The 18,122-nt window shown below is 36.0% G+C and overlaps 1 long non-coding RNA gene across 2 annotated transcripts in view; it reads right to left on the bottom strand.

Annotated features, from left to right (window-relative positions):
- Positions 1–13,088: 13,088 nt before the first annotated feature.
- Positions 13,089–18,122, bottom strand: part of LOC105370220 (uncharacterized) — a 49,062-nt gene continuing 44,028 nt past the window's right edge. For both annotated transcript variants that reach the window (XR_941987.3, XR_941989.3), the window contains exon 6: positions 13,089–13,427. This is a non-coding gene — a long non-coding RNA (uncharacterized LOC105370220). The remainder of the gene's footprint in view (positions 13,428–18,122) is intronic.

The following is an 18,122-nucleotide window of genomic DNA, read 5'->3' as shown; positions in this document are numbered from 1 at the left end:
GTCTCTACTAAAATAAAAATTAAAAAAATTAACTGGGCCTGGTGGTGGGTGCCTGTAATCCCAGCTACTTGGGAGGCTGAGGTGGGAGAATTGCTTGAACCCAGGAGGCAGAGGTTGCAGTGAGCCAAGATCTCTCCATTGCACTCCAGCCTGGGCAGCAAGAGCAAAACTCCATCACAAAAAAATAAAAAAATAAAAAAAGCAAAGGAGGAAACATGAATTAAATTTTAAATTATGATTATGCTAGTGCAAGTAGAGTTTAAAACTTAATTCTGAAAGTCTACAATATTATTTGGAATGTCTTCACATGTGGGAGAAATCTTTTGATAGGGCATATACATGTATGTATATATGTTTTCTTTTAAAATTGAGACTTTTATTAAACCCTGTTTTTTAAACTCCCATCATTTTTGTACCATGTCACAGCTCTGGCTATAATTTGCTCAATTAAATTATAATTTACAATTATTCATGCAATATTTTAAATCCACTATTTTCAACTTGAATACATTTTTTATTTAACTGTTTTTTAATTTCAACTTTTAGATACAGGGGTACATATGCAGGTTTGTTACATGGGTATATTGCACCCAGGGAGTGAGCATAGTACTCAAGAGGTAGCTTTTCAACCCAGGGCTCCCTCCCTCTCTCCCCACTGTGGTAGTCCACAGTGTCTATTATTCCCATATTTATGTCCATGTTTGCTCAGTTTTTAGCTCCCACTTGTAAGTGAGAACATATAGTATTTGCTTTTCTGCTCCTGCATTAATTCACTCAGGATTATGGCCTCCAGCTCTATTCATTTCTGCAAAGGGTAAGTTTTTATTCTTTTTCATAGCTGTGTAGTATTCCATGATATATATATATATACCACAGTCTCTTTATCCAAACCACCACTGATGGAGGCCTAGGCGGATTCCATGTCTTTGATACTGCATATAGTGCTGTGATGAACATTTGAGTGGATGTGTCTTTTTGATATAACGATCTATTTTCCTTTGGGAATATACTCAGTAATGAGATTGCTGGGCCAAATGGTAACTCTATTTTAAGTTCTTTGAAAAATCACCAAGCTTCTTCCCCCAGTTGCTAAATTAATTTACCTTCTCACCAGCAGTGTATAAGCATTCCCTTTTCTCTGCAGCCTCACCAGCATCTGTTATTTTTTGACTTTTTAATAATAGCCTTTCTGAATGGTGTGAAATGGTATCTCATTGTGGTTTTGATTTGCATTTCTCTGATGATTAGTGGTGACGAGCATTTTTTCAAATGTTTGTTGGCTACTTCTAAGTCTTTCAAGAAGTGTCTGTTCATGTCCTTTGCCTACTTTTTAATGGGGTTATTTATTTTTTGCTTGTTAATTTGTTTAAGTTTCTTATAGATTCTGGATATTACACCTTTATTGGCCACATAGTTTGCTAATATTTTCTCCCAATCTGTAGGTTTTCTCTTTACTTTATTGATCATTTCTTTTGCTGTGCAAAAGCTCTTTAGTTTAATTAGGTTCCACTTGTCAATTTTTGTTTTTGTTACCATTGCTTTTGGAAACTTAGCAAAAAACTCTTTGCCAAGGCCAATGTCAAGAAGGGTAATTTCTAGGTTTTCTTCTAGGATTTTGAGATCTTACATTTAAATCTTTAATCTATCTATCTTGAGTTAATTTTTGTATATAGTGAAAGGTAAAGGTCTAGTTTCATTCTTCTGCATATGACTAGCCAGTTATCCCAGCACTGTTTATTGAATAGAGAGTTTTTTCCCTGTTGTTTTTATTAACTTTGTCAAAGATCAGATGTATGGCTTTATTTCTAAGTTTTCTATTCTGTTTCATTGGTCTGTATCCTTTTTTTGTACCAGTACCATGCTGTTTTGGTTACTTAGCCTTATAGTGTAATTTGAAGTTGGGTAGTGTGATGTCTCTGGCTTTGTTCTTTTTACTTAGGCTTGCCACTGCTATTTGGGGTCTTTTTTGTTTCCACATGAGTTTTAGAGTCGTTTTTTCTAATTCTGTGAAGAATGACATTGGTAGATTGATAAGACTAGTGTCGAATCTTTAAATTGCTTTGGGCAGTATGACAGTTTTAACGATACTGATTCTTCCAGTTATGAACATGGAATATATTTCCATTTATTTGTTTAGCAGTTTTAGCAGTGTTTAGCATTTATCTGTTTTAGCAGTGTTTTGGTTAGATGCATTCGAAGGTATTTCATTTTCTTTGTGGCTATTGTAAACGGAATCGTGTTTTTGATTTGACTCTCAGCCTGGACATTATGTGCATAAATGTGCATTCTAGAAATACTATTGATTATTGTACATTAATTTTGTGCCCTGAAACCTCGCTAGAATCGTTTATCAAACTGGAAAAAGACAAAGATGCCCCTTCTTACTACTCCTATTCATCATAGTACTGGAAGTCCTGGCTAGAACAATCAAGCAAGAGAAAGAAATAAAAGACACTCAATAGCAAAATAGGAGGTAACACTATCTTTCTTCGCTGACAATATGATTCTATTCTTAGAACACTATGAAAGACTGCCAAAAGGCTACTAGAATTGATAAACAATCTTAAATAAGTTTATTTTAAAAGAGAAATTTATTTCATCATCATAAATGGAGCTGTATACTTTTTGCCATAATGAATTACAAATAGCCTGTAACTATTAAAAAGTAAATCACATCCATTTTTCTCTGAAACTCTTCAAGAATAAAAAACATTTTAATTGAATAAATGTATACTTTTGTTAAAATGAAACAAAATTGATGAAGTCTACCATTTTGCATCGTTTAAATTTAGGAAAAAAGTCATCATAAGTTGAAACTTATGTGCATATTCTTATGAAACATTAAAGCAAGATATTTTGAAAGGAGGCAAAGAGCCTTTTGAAAAAAAGTGTAAACTAAAATATTTTATATTTCAGTATAAATGCTATAAAGTATTGAGAATATATTTCATTGTACAGAATTTAATTTGCTTTTACCAGGTACCTCAGTGTGTCCGGAATTGGTGGGTTCTTGCTCTCACTGACTTCAGGAATGAAGCCGCAGACCCTGGCGGTGAGTGTTACAGCTCTTAAGGCGGCGCGTCTGGAGTTTGTTCCTTCTGATGTTTGGATGTGTTCGGAGTTTCTTCCTTCTGGTGGGTTCATGGTCTCGCTGGCTTCAGGAGTAAAGCTGCAGACCTTCGTGGTGAGTGTTACAGCTCACAGAAGCAATGCGGACCCAAAGAGCGAGCAGCAGCAGGATTTATTGCAAAGAGCGAAAGAACACAGCTTCCACAGTGTAGAAGTAAACCCGAGCAGGTTGCCACTGCTGGCTTGGCAGCCTGCTTTTATTCTCTTATCCGGCCCCATCCACATCCTGCTGATTGGTAGAGCCCAGTGGTCTGTTTTGACAGGGCGCTGATTGGTAAGTTTACAATCCCTGAGCTAGACACAAAGGTTCTCCACCTCCCCACCAGATTAGCTAGATACAGAGTGTGGACACAAAGGTTCTCCAAGTCCCCACCAGAGTAGCTAGATACAGAGTGTTGATTGGTGCATTCACAAACCCTGAGCTAGACACAGGGTGCTGATTGGTGTGTTTACAAACCTTGAGCTAGCTGCAGAGTGCCGATTGGTGTATTTACAATCCCTGAGCTAGACATAAAGGTTCTCCACATCCCCACCAGACTAAGGAGCCCAGCTGGCTTCACCCAGTGGATCCGCAGTGGGGCTGCAGGTGGAGCTGCAGGTGGAGCTGCCTGCCAGTCCCGCACTGTGCGCCCGCACTCCTCAGCCCTTGAGTGGTCGATGGGACTGGGCGCCCTGGAGCAGGGGGCAGTGCTCATCTGGGAGGCTCCGCCGCACAGGAGCCCACGGAGGGGGGTGAGGCTCAGGCATGGCGGGCTGCAGGTCCAGAGCCCTCCCCTGCGGGAAGGCAGCTAAGGCCCAGTGAGAAATTGAGCACAGCAGCTGCTGGCCAGGTGCTAAGTCCCTCACTGCCCGGGGTCGGTGGGGCCGGCCAGCTGCTCCCAGTGTGGGGTCTGCCGAGCCCATGCCCACCCAGAACTCACGCTGGCCGTCAAGCACCATGCGCAGCCCCGGTTCCCGCGGGAGCCTCTCCCTCTACACCTTTCCGCAAGCTGAGGGAGCCGGCTCCGGCCTTGGCCAGCCCACAAAGGGGCTCCCACAGTGCAGCGGCGGGCGGAAGGGCTCATCAGCACCTTTGAAAATAATATTTTCTCCATTAAAAATATTATGGTCTAGACAGAAGAGTCATTTTAAGGAGGAGGTAACTTGCAACTTGTTAACCATAAAATGCAGAAATTTATGGATATCTTTCCAAAGAAAAAGATACTGTTGCTCTATTCAGAGGTAGAGCAGATAAATGGAATCTTTTTTTTTTTTTTTTTTTTTAGATGGAGTCTCGCTCTGTCGCCCGGCCTGGAGTGCAGTGGCGCCATCGTGGCTCACTGCAAGCTCTGCCTCCCGGGTTCATGCCATTCGAGTAGCTGGGACTACAGCACCCACCACCACGCCCGGCTAATTTTTTGTATTTTTAATAGAGACAGGGTTTCACCGTGTTAGCTAGGATGGACTCCATCTCCTGATGTCATGATCCGCCAGCCTCGGTCTCCCAAAGTGCTGGGATTACAGGCGCCCGCCACCACGCCCGGCTAATTTTTTTTTTTTTTTTTTTTTTTTTGTATTTTTAGCAGAGGCAGGGTTTCACTGTGTTAGCCAGGTTGGTCTTGATCTCTCGACCTCGTGATCCGCCCATCTTGGCTTCCCAAAGTGCCGGGATTACAGGTGAGAGCCACTGCGCCTGGCCGAATCTTTTTTTTTTCTTTAATCAGAAAAATCATATGAGGATAGCTGAAGTATTAGGATCATAAAATACAAGAACCCAAGTTTACCTTGTGGAAATTTTTATATTTGTATTGTACCTCATTTATTAGAGGTAGTCCTCCAAATGATTTGCTGACCCATGGCTACATGTGAAAATGTGGAAATCACCCAGTCTCATTTAAGTTAAGAATTAGGTTGAACACTCATTTTCAAAATGTCATGATTAAGCTAGAGTACCCCCTCAGTTGCAGTTAGATTTCTTCTTGAATATGTTTTTCCTTCAGGTATTAGAACTTTATAGGAATGAGAGATGTATCTGTTGTGATGATGCTGGGGCATTAATACTGGCCTCTGTAATGTATTGCAGTTTATTTCTGATTCTGAAGCAAATTAACAATTCTAAAGAGAACTATTTTTCAGATTTTTTTTGTGTATGTTAAAAAGTGTTGGTATCTCTCACAGTGTGAAGAGAGCTATTGGTAGTTTTTTTTTTTGTTTCCATATTTTCTGTCATAATAACCATAAAATCAATCTCATTGAGGTGACAAAGACTGTCTTTAGTTTGGAGTTACTGGTTTAATATTAATGTTTTGCATAGTTTCTTTAGAAAATTCTGGCAATGTATTTTGCATTCTGAAGATAGATACAGTCTGTGAGCAGAACTTGGCCCTTGAGTAGAAGATGCAACAGAAGTGAAATTATTTGAGTGATACAAGAATCTCATCATCAGACACTCTTGCCTTTGGAATCTAAAAACATTTTTACATTAAAGATATTCTTTTTATGGTGCCAGTATATCTGCAAAAGAACATAAGACTGTTAAGGCTCAGGAGGCTGCAGGTGGGTTAGTGTTTTACTGTTTTTATTCCTTTGTCAGCTTATCAATAATCACTGCATGATAGGGATGACTTTTTTTTTTTTAAGATAATGCTGAAACTAAAAATTTTCCTTTTCCTGTTGAAGTCATTGTGAATATAGAATTGCTCATCCTGGAATGGTAAATGGCAGAGAAAATCCATTTCCTGATAATTCTCAGGAGTATTATATGTACACATTAGCAGAGAATACCATTCTTAAAATGGAATATTTAAATACCATTTAAATACAATTCTTAAAATAGAGTATTTTTAGTATATAGTACAAAAAGAGAAAGAATACCTTACAACTTTAAAAACAATGTTGACACTGAACTTAATGTCCTAAACATGAGCAATCATAAACAGAATTTTAATATGTTAGTTTATGGGAATTACAGGAAAATAAGTAAATGGCATTGAAATAACAGGATACAAAAGGTAGCAACAAGATAAGATCAAATTCAGGGTAGAGCTATTTCTGGATAGAGACACTGTAGTCTCTTTCGACACAGTGAGAATGATAACACTAGAATCTTATTTTGTTTGATCTGTCTCTGATATGTATGCATGTATGTATGTATTTATCTATCTACCTATGTGTCTATTTATCTATCTTTTTCTTTATTTTTAACCTGAGGTATAATTCCTGCTACTGCTTAAAGTGTACAATTTGATGAGTTTTGACAGATGTATACTTCTTCAATATCGTTGCTACAATGAAATAACAAAACATGTTCATCACCCTCGAGATGTCCACTAACTAGGACTTCACTCAGTTGCTAATTTGCTTTATGTCACTATAAATTAATTTGCAATTTTTTAAATTATGTATTTATATATCTGCATCTGGCTGTTTATTCTTCTATTTTTATATAGGTGGAATCCTACAGTATTTTCTCTTTGGGTATCACTTCTTTCACCCTGTGCAATGATATTGAGATTCATTCATTTTGCTGTATGTATCACTAGTTTCTTGTTATTATCTAATATTCATTGCCTGGATATAGCTTATATGTTATTTGTCCATTCAAAATTCAACTGTTATTGAACATTTGGTTTGTTTATTGTTTCTTGGAATTATAAATAAAATAGCTAAAGCATTCATGTTGAAGTCTTTGTGAGGACATATGATAAATAATCCAATAAAAATGGCCAAGAGATTTGAGCAGGCATTTCATGAAAGAAAATATATGAATGGCTAATAAGCATATGAGAAAATGATCAATATAATTTGTCACTAGAAGAATGCACTTAAAAGCATCATTAAAATACTAATCCACACCGATGTGAAAGTTATCCATACAAACATGGAGTCACTTGTGTTAAACTCAAAATAAAGTCAGGAGATTAGAAAGGGAAAACCCTCATGCAAACATGCCTGTGATAAGAACTATTGTAAAGACTCTCTGAAGGTTCTTATGCACATAAGCCTGTAACAAAAACTTTTGTAAAAGATTTTCCAAACTGCAACTTGCTACATGAGTCACAAGGACATTTAACCATAAGTATAAGAACCTGTGCCTGATACAGTCTCCACTCATGAGCTGACAGTCAACTCCTGCAATAAACCCTTCTAACCATTGTTCTCTTTGTTGCAAAATAACTGACATGGACTCCTCCTTTTGCCTTTAAAAGCCTCCTTGTGCCTCAACCTCCTCAATTGTGCCTATAGTTGCCATGGCTCGTGTACTCTGTATGGCAATGCTTCTGCTCCTTCCTAAATAAACTGATTATCTTTGGAGAATCTCTCTTTGTCTATTATTTAGGTTGATGCCTAGTAGAGTGGCTGAAATTTTAAATTACTGAAAATACAAAGTTCTGGCAAAATGTGATGGCACTGGAAAACTCATAAACTGCTGGTGATACTGTAAAATTATAAAACCACTAGGAAAATTGTTCCAGAGTTTCTAAAATAATTGAACACGTCTATCATACGACTCAGCCACACATCACCTAGATATTTACATAAAAGAATCAGAAACTTATTTTAAAAGCAGCATATCAAGCAGAAATCTGAGCCTTGCTACTTTGTGTGACTGGGTAGGTTGATTAATCATTCTGAGTTTTAATTTCCTCATTGTTAAAAATTGGGAGTAAATGATAACTATTCATAAAGAGCCTTGCTTATCACCTAGAATACACTGATACTCAGAGAGTGTTAGTTACTTTTCTTTATATGTTAATTGTTCACTGGGCTCTAAAACATTCAATCCAGGCCAGCTGCAGTGGCTCATGCCTATAATCCCAGCACTTTGGGAGGTTGAGGCGGGTGGTTGCTTGAGCCCAGGAGTCCAAGACCAGACTGGGCAGCATGGTGAAGCCCTATCTCTAAAACAAAAAAAGAAAGAAAGAAAAAAATAATTCAATCCACAATGTAGATTTATTCTTTCTAAATTATTTTATCCAGCTATTTAAAGTTTCAGTTGCTAAAAAAATCATTAAGCAGAAAGGTCTGTACCAGGCATATCTGACTGGAAATTAGGTAGATTCTATAAGATCTGATGATATGGTTATTATGGAGAATGGTGTCCAGCTACTGTCCTAGGAAACAAGACAAGGGAAGACCCAAGAAGCAGGCAAGGACACTGGCAGGTCAGCAGGGAGGCACCAACGTCATGATTTTTGAGTGACTTTCATGACTTTGTTGGGTACAAATCTGTAGATAATTAGAATAAATTCCCCACATTGTTTATATTATCTGTACCTCAAAGTTCATATAACTATTCACACTTGGTAGTTGCTATGGTCTGAATGTTTGTGTACCCTCAAAATTCATATCCTGAAACCAATTCACTAATGTGTTGGTGTTGGGAGATGAGGCCTTTGGGAGGTGATTGAGTCATGAGTGTAGAGCCCTTACGAATGAAGTTAGTCCCCTTATCAAAGAGGCGCCAGAGAGCTGCCTTGCTCACTTCTTACCTTGTGAGGACACAGCAAGAAGGCACCATGTATGAACCACAAAGCAGACCCTCACCTGACACTGAATCTGCCAGTGATTTGAACTTCCTGAATTCCAGAATTTGTGAGAAATAAATTTCTGTCATTTTTCTTGCCATGGCTCATGTACTCTATTAGTACCCAGTTTACTGCATTTTGCTATAGTAGCTCAAATGGACTAAGACGGTGGTAAATATACCAGTGATTGTTTATATAACCACTGGAGGATTACTAAATAACAAGAATTCAAGCACTAGGAATTGTCCCTGGCTTCAGAAAACAGGTTATGACATGTAAAACACGTTTATTAACTATAAATACAGAGTGTTGCAGAAATTCAGAGTGAAAGGTAATCACTTTTCCTAGACTATTTGGGGAAGATATCAGTGAAAAGTATGTGTATGAAGAAGCAGATAAGCATTTCACAGGTGTGTTTGAGAGTGGTTTTATGAGAAAGGATGGGGAGGCTGTAATGTCAGACTGAGAGATCATAGAGCAGCCTGGCTGAAGTGGGGACTTTCCATAATTGAGGAGTGTGGAAGTGTGGCAAGATAAGCAGTGGCTAGGGGGAGAAGGAGGTGGCATTTATCCTTTAGTTATAGAAAGCTATGGAACCCTACATGTGGCTCAAGTGTGATCAAAGATGCTTTTAAGAAAGAATAAATCTGTAGGCAGGCCAAGGTAAATTGAGAATCTGGAGGTAGCACAGACACTAGGAGAATATTTAGGTGACTTTTGTGGTAATCTAGGATCAACGTTAATCTTTTAACTCAGTGGCTTTTCCCTCTATTCCTCTTCTGTGGCCTTTCCAAGCCCTAGATTTGGAAAAAATCCCGATTCCCCTGACTTTGCAATGAACTTGGACTACTGTGCAAAAGCTGAATTATTAGGAATGTGAATTCAGACCCATTAACCTTAGAGGAATATCACAATGTTAAGGAGATGTTGTGCTTTTTAGAGGGAAGAAAAATGTGTAAATACAGAACATTATCAACAGCTGTCACTTTAGAGGAAAGATCTTTCTCTTTGTTATGTTGTGTCCCCTGAGGAACAAGTGAAGGTCATGTTATTAAAAGTGCTAGTATATTATAGTACTCATGTCAGCTAATTAAATCTGTCATATCAAACAGCTTCTATTTTTCCTGGCACTTTCTCTTAATTCCTTCTGTTTCTATTCAGTAGATACAGAGAGTCGGCAGGGGAGAAACCTCAACTGTCAGAGTCAGATTTTCCAAAATGCTGCCAAATAACTCTGTGTGCACTTCATTGTATTTGTAATGTCTTCATTCTGGATTTTTTTTTTTATCAACCTGGATTATTCCTGAGAACTGCCTGATTTATCAAGCACAGCATCTACTTATAAATATTAAAGAAAATAACAGTGATGAAGAGAGACAAGTTTTAAAAACTACTAGAGAAAAAAAAAACCTGGCTTTTTGAAACAGTTATCCAATTTAAAGGTTTATGCTCATAATTTACTCAAGAATAATTTAGAATTTTCCTAATAATTACTTCAGAATAAACTCTAGGAAATACTGGCCTCTCTGAGGCAGGTCCCACATAAAGCTCTACAAATGATAGTCTCATTCTGAGGTTGCTACGAACATGTCTACAAAGTCTTATTCAGCATTACATTGAAGCTAACCTTCTGCTTTACCAATTTATCTCAAAAAAAGTTTTACTGCCACCACTATCAAAACAGTGTCCTAGAAAACAAACTCATAAATTATGTTCCCTGTTCTTCCAGGTCCCTAAGCTTCTACCAATAAATTCTGCAGTCGTCTTCTTCGGTGGAGAGGTTTTCCACCTAATCTATAATTTCTGTATCTTGAGCATTTTTTTATATGTAGTCTTTTAAGTTTTCAAATCTCACTGATTTCAAATTAAACTTCTCTTTTTTAACAAATTAAATTATGAATAATAAAAAACCAAAAAAACAAATGAAAATTATCATATGGGATGAACCCTTCACTGAGGTCTGTATCAACTTGATCTCTTACTTCTTTTTTCTGATCCTTTCCTTCTACTGGATAGACTCAGTACAGTACAAAAGATAGATGTGGTAAGGGCCAGAGGACACTTTCTCTGTCCTGCTTACTAACTCTGGGCTGTAATCCATGCAAGTCTTGGAGGAAAAAAAATGGCTCTTCTATGTCTGGTGAATGCTATAACAGTAACTTTTGGCTAATACTATTCCCCAAGAGTATCTGAATCCCACTGAGAAAATAAACAGAGCCGAAATTTAAGCAAGAATTTGAAGAATCCTGGATTTAAATATGTTTGTGACTCCACACTTGCCCATCTTCAATCATCCTACAAAACTGAGCTCCGTGTTTATAAATCTATTGCTATTGGACAAGACTACACTTTCATCACTGCCCACTTAAGCTGATGGAAGGGATTAGCTGATAATTTGTAAATTTGCATACATCCAGCACACATACACAAACACACACATAGTCTATGTTAGAATATGGAAGGTAAGTTAGTTACTGACAAATCAGTTACTTAAAGCATAAAACTTGGTTCATAATTTTATTTATTACAGTGGATGGTATTCGTCTGTTCTCTTGCTTCTATAAGGACATACCTGAGACTGGGTAATATATAAAGGTAAGAGGTTTAGTTGATTCACAGTTCTACATGGCTTGGGAGGCCTCAGGAAACTTACAGTCCTGGCAAAAGGGGAAACAAACACATTCTTCTTCACATGGTGGCAAGAAAAAAAGATGCAGAGTGAAGTGGGGAAAGCCCCTTGTAAAACCTCCAGATCTCATGAGAACTCACTCACTATCACGAGAACAGCATGAGGGGACTGCCCCCATGATCCAATCACCTCCCACATGGTCCCCCCGTCAACACATGGGGGTTACAATTTGGATTACAATTCAAGATGAGATTTGGGTGGGGACACAGAGCCAGACCATTGCAAAATTCTCATACAGCATAAGAAATCATACTTTTAAAATCACTTTTAAAGTAAACTAAACATAACATATGAGCACCATACCCTGAGAATATTGCCCATGTTAGATTGTATCCCCCCAATTTTTTGTTCTCTGTTTGAACTCATGCTTTTGAATCCATCAGTTGCAATTTCAATTGCCCATTAGAAAGAGCACAAATATTTTGCAATAGAATTTGTCATTACATAGGATGTTTCAAAAATATTTTAATAAAATGTGAAAATCCTCAAAATATGGTAGACATCTTTAAATGAGATGATAAGAACACAACTGTATATATGTGTTAAATATACCTATAGAAAAACTATATTTTTCTACCTCATCATACCTCAAAATATTAAAAATGGCTAAATCTGGGCTGGGATAGAAGTTTAGTTAACTTTGTTTTCTGTATTGTAAATTTTTGCATCCCTGAAATTTTTACAGTGAACAATTATCTATTAGTTTACTATAAGAAAAATAATATCTTAATTTTAAGTAAAACCATGAATGTGACATGCATGACACACAACCTTATACATAGTAGTTATTCAATAAACATCAAATCCCTTCCCCACTCAGACAGTATTAAATAAATGGGTAAAGATACATTTTGTTATCAATAAATCTTACATTGTCTAGAAAGCAACTGTACTCAAATATAAAAAGCCTTGGCTAAAAAGAACAGCATAAAACTTAGAGACAGAGGTTAGCCCTGGGCAAGAAGAGCCTCTGCAGAAGAAAGTTAAAAAGACTCATTGATGCACTAAGGTCTAATTAAGCAAGTGAAGCATGAGGGTGATATCATCAAAAATTGTTCTAACGGTAGGGAAGCGATTATGGAAACTATTGCAATGGTCAAGTTCACTCATAATGAACACATGAATAAGAAACTTGCATTAGCCACTGAAAGCAAAGTTTTATCTGGAGCATAGTTTTTTCAATGATAACAAGCAAAGTCAATGCTGACTCTAATTCCCATTTTGGAGGGATGGTGAAAGGTCAAGGTCTTAAGTGGTCATAAAACTCCCAGTAAAATTGGAGTAAAATTTTCTGTCAGGTAAATACCATGGTCAGGGACATATAGACAACTTTAAAAATTAGAAAAAAAATTACTCAAGTAATAATTTTGGCTTTACGTAAACCACATAGTTAAACATAATGAAATTCAATGAAAAGAATAATTGCATGTTTGGCTTCAACTTTTACACACTTCTCTGCCCACACCTCTGCCCTTTTGGGCTTTCCTCTTCTGTTTTCTCATGGTCCATCTCACTAATAAACTAATGAAATGCAATAATCAGAGATAACACTTTTAGCAGAACATTACTCCCTTTATTCCTGCAATTGTTACGCATTTATCTATTCAGTATGTATTTGTTAAGTTTTCTTTCGAAAATATTTTTGGAGTATGCACTAAGTGCTCAGTAGGGTTCTGTTTGCTGAAGATTTAAGGCAGTTAAACTAAAAAATTCCTTCATTACTATATTTATATTCTAGAGTATGGCAGATAGAAAATAAATAAGTAATACAATTGGACTAGGATATGCTGCTGTACATTTAACTACACTGTGAAAAGAATGCCCAAGAAAAAGTGGATGCTGCTCCTGCCAAGCCACCTGATTGCACTTCTTCTGCTGGCTTCAATGCAGTTGCTGGGGATTTAGTCTGGCTTGTTTCTTGGCTTTACGTAGGGCTTCTGATAATGGGTCATTTTGTCTCAGCTGCCTTTGTCTCCCTCAGTCCTCTTTGGCTCTGGACCCCAATCCTCTCTTGCCCCTTCTCCTTCCAGCTCAGGGATCTGAGGGTACATCCCAGTCTGTACTGTAGGCTGATCTCGTTCTTGCATGTTGAGCCCAACAGACTGTTAATATGAATAAAGTGACTTTTTGTTATACAGGTACTGAGAGTGACACAATCAAGGTAAACCTCAGGGCCTCCATGATCAGGCTAGGTGATCAAGTTTATTTTACTATGTCTCGAATGCAGATATTGAGGGAGAAAATATCCAGAGAACTTAGGTATGCTATTTGCATATTTTACATGCTATTTGAAAAGCAGAAGGCTCAAAATTAAAAAGCTGAAACTCTTTCTAAGATGATTAGCAAATTTAAGGGAATTCCCAAATAAAAAGAAGAGATTTTGGCATCTCAAAATTGAAATCTAAAGTTCTTGTGGTTAAGTAGCAAGTAAAAGTATCCATAAAAATTCTGAAAATAAAGCATAACGTTGAAAGACTAGCACTACTAACTTATAACACATATTATAAAGTTATAACACTTTTTAAAACCCTGTGATGTTAATGCATAAATTAACAGATCACTGTAAAAGATGAGAAAACCTACAAATATACCCAAATACGTGCAGGAGTTTAGTGAAAGACAAAGTATGATTTTCATAATAAGTGCTATTTCTACAATTGTGTAGACCCATGGAAAATAAATTAACTTAAATCCTATTTGATACTATTACTCCAGGGAGAATTCCATTTGGGTCAAATATTTAAATGTAAAAATAAAACCACAAAAATCCTAGAAGCCATAAAACAATATATGTATTTTTTTAAATATCAGAATGGAGGTCTTTTTTCTCTTCATGGCACAAAATTCAGAATAAATAAAATATATATTATATATGTGTGTGTGTGCGTGTGTGTGTGTCTATATTCCACAGCAAAATCAATGTAAGCATAGCCAAAAGACAAATATGAATTAGAAAAACATTTGCAATCATATCACAAAGGAGTAATATCTTAACACCTAAAAAGCCTCTCGCACTAACGCAGAAGAAATACCTGACAAACCAATAGCAAAAAGGAACAAAGATATGGGCAGACATCTTTACAGAAAATTAATTACAAAATGTAATCCTATAAGAGATGTGCAAAATCACTAAAAAAGTTAATACAACTACAGAAATATATTTTATGTATTACTTTTCACCTGTTATATTGGTGAAAACTAAACCATATTAGTAAAGCTATAGGGAATTAGAAGCTGTCATATATTGCACTTAGCCACTGAATTACATAAATTCTCTTGACTACTTCTACTTAGCCCTGGAACACTGTCCTAAATTGTCCCATACAAGTTTTCTTACCTGGTATTTGAGCCTTCTCTTTTTCTTCCTGACCGCTGTCTTTCATATCAAATCTCTCCTTCCTATAAACTCTTTTAAAGCTTTCATACTATTATCTATTTTAATTATCTATGAAATTGTCAACTATAAGCATCATAAAGCCTAAGCCTTATCATATTTTTTTTCAACAAACCCATTGCCTTAACTTGCTGTTTGCTAATAGTAAAAATATATGTAATGGTATTAGACATCACAATTTTCACAGGCTTCTGATATCTTCTCATTTGTTACTACAATAATTCCCAGACCTGGGCATCACCATTTACCCCATTCCACTGATGAGAACATTGAGTGAGGTTATGATCACGTACTGACCAGCTAGCAGAGCCTATAGTGCAGCTGTGTGGAAGTCAGAAAACCTATATATAGATCTTGCCTCTTCTACTTTTTGCTCCTGTGAGATTTCGTAATTTATTTAACTTCTTTAAGCTAGTTTCCTTATCTATAAAAACATAAATGACAATAACACTTAGCTCAAGGCTTCTGAGAAGAGTAACAAAGAAAATGAAAAGAAAGCATTTGGCATAAGACCAGTCATTTAAAAAGTGCTCAGCTATTGTTGTGATTATTATTATTTTTCAATAATATAGCTTTTGTTACTTGTAGATTTATTTTGCTTTACAGTGTGCCCTTCTGACTCAGCACCTTTATAGGTGACTTAAATGATGAGAGTTGGTTATTTTTGGTGATGGATTGATGGCAAATTCAATAATTGAAACACATTTAGTACTTTACCAACATACTTTTCTTACATATAATTCAATCAAAGAACCAGTAATAATCAGGTAAATGTGAGCTGGCATTGAATAGCTTTATTATCTAGTATTACTGTCACATTAGCCCTTCACATCTGTTTTTGGTTGCACTGTGTGTAGTGCATGAATGATACTTAGTTTGATTACTGTCTATTCTTTTTTTTCTAAGCCTTCATCAAAACATTTGTCTCATATCAATATGAATTTCTCTCTAGCTGTTTCTTTTTTTTCTTTTTGGTACAGAATTTAATCTTGGTACAGAATTTAATCTTTGGTACAGAATTAAACACAGTTTAATTCTCTGAATTACCAGATCTCTTTTTACTTTTGTTGTCAAAAGCCCAAATCCAATGAAATAATAGATCATCATTTCCTATTGTGAAAAGACTGAAAATAAAAAGTAGCTTTAATTTAGAAGTCTCTTTCTGTTGGTGTGAAAGAGAAAGTTCTTTTACCTTTTTTAGCTACTGAGTTATGGTCAACATATACATAAATGCTGGCAAGAACAAATTAAATGTGGAAATTAGGAGGCAAAAAATAATTTTATTTTATGAATATTTTCTTTTTTTATTATGAGTAATGCAAATTATAATTATGCTATTAAAACAATGATTTTAGCAATAATTTGGTTATAATTTACTATATAATCATAGCAAAAATTCTCTTTTCATAATTTCTTTGTTGATCTGAAAATGAAAAGTTATCATTTTATGTTCACAATAGTTTGTGAATAAGGTAGCTACAAAATTCCATAAGGGAAAATAAGTTAAAAATAGAATTTTTTTTTCCACATAATATATTGACACATAACGAGAGACGAGTTTTTGCAACTTCTATTGTGGATTAAACAATTGAAGTTTAATCTGACCAGCTGAAGTGGAAATCTCTAAAGAAGGTATACAAATTAAACTACATTTTTATACAAACAATTTTTCTAGGCCCAAAGGCAAAGATCTTCTGAAGCAAGATGATAGAACATGGTTCTAAGTTGTTTTCACAAGACGAAAGCCGGATGCTTAAATTGAATTATCTGAGTACATGCATTTCTTCAACAAATAGGTTTTGAATATTTACTCTGCCCCAAATCACTGCCCTAGGAGTAAAGGATACTGTGGTAAATTAAGGTGAAGTCTTGTTTCGCTGGAAATATTTATTTAGATAAAAAATATTGCCACAATATCATTTTATTTATATTTTATAGCTACATCTACTTAGTAATACTAGGTAAATTGCATTGAGTATTTAATTTATTAGCTCAGGCACTAATGTGAGTATATTACTTATAGGAAAACTCCTCACAGCCCTTAGATAAGAAATATTGCTTCCCTGATTTAAAATGAGAAATTGAGGTTTGGCGAGGTTAGATAATATAGTCTATTTTTCCCAGCTAATCGAAGAAAATATTTGCAATTTGAATCAAGTCTAGTTTGATTTAAATTCATCATTTCCATGTGAAATTATTTAAGTGTCTCCATTTGTAGCAGTTAGTATATAGTTGAACATAGGCAGATTATCATGTGTTTGTTTGTTTCTGACAATATGTGGACCACCAATGCAGCAGAGCCCATGCTTGAATATGCTATTTAAATTTCTGTAAGAATTGACTCTCCCCAGGAAGGAAGTCACCAATTCTAACCCCTACAAACTGCTTTCTACCCTTACGGTGCCTCTCTTTCTGTTCTAATATCTTTAGCTCCACCTATCCCTACTTTTCAACTAAATACATCTCTTAAAGAACTTCCATTCTGAAAAGATTGCTGAGCAAGTAATATAACCTGCATCTAGGCTACTTCCTTCTCTGTCTGTACAACTAGTATTGTCACAGTGCATGCATGCTAAGTTTGAATTTCAGATAATCAATAAATACTTTTAAAATATAAGTATGCCCCCTTGCACCTAATATACTTAAAAATGCATTTGAAATTCAAATTTAACTGGGCACCTTAGATTTGATCTGGGAACACTATTCCTGTTGAGTATATATACAGAAGTGGACAAGGCTTTTGTTTATGTTGCCAGATGGAATGGCGTTACTAGGTGGTCAGTGTGGAGAAGGTTATTCTTTGCGATCAAAATATGTTTACTGAAGTTACAGCCAATGCCCTTTCCTATGACCCCTAGAGAACTATCCAGGAGTTGTTCTGCAAACTACCATGCACAATACCCATTATTAAACCAAATGTCTTAGACAATTTTATCTTAAGCATGTGTGAAAGTTTTGCTAACAAAGGAACCAGCAAGAAGACTAAAGTGTGAAATGTTTCGACAGAGTGTAGGAAAATCATTTTAGAACCCATGAAATAAGTTGTCTGCATAAGATCATGAAATCCAGACTACTGATTTATATTTTGGGATAGAAAACTATCCTACCTTTATTGTTATATGGCTTAACCTAGGTCATGACAATTTCAAGCCAGTGCCTGAGGATGCCATGCGTGAACCATTAATCAGAAATCATAAACAATGAACGTGTGGCTCTTAGTAAGATATAGTGGACTCCATATAATAAACAATGCATCTGTGGCTGTTGATCACATATAGTGAGCAAGAAAATTCCATTCTCTAACAATGTCAGATAAGGCTAATTAAGAGATTCCAGCTACAAATTTCTTTCTTCCTATTTTTCCCCCAAGTGACTATCAGAAAATTCCTAAACATATTAAAAA

Source organism: Homo sapiens, chromosome 13, assembly GCF_000001405.40.
Source record: "Homo sapiens chromosome 13, GRCh38.p14 Primary Assembly".
Lineage (NCBI taxonomy): Eukaryota > Metazoa > Chordata > Mammalia > Primates > Hominidae > Homo > Homo sapiens.
This window is presented reverse-complemented; position numbering and strand designations above follow the sequence as displayed.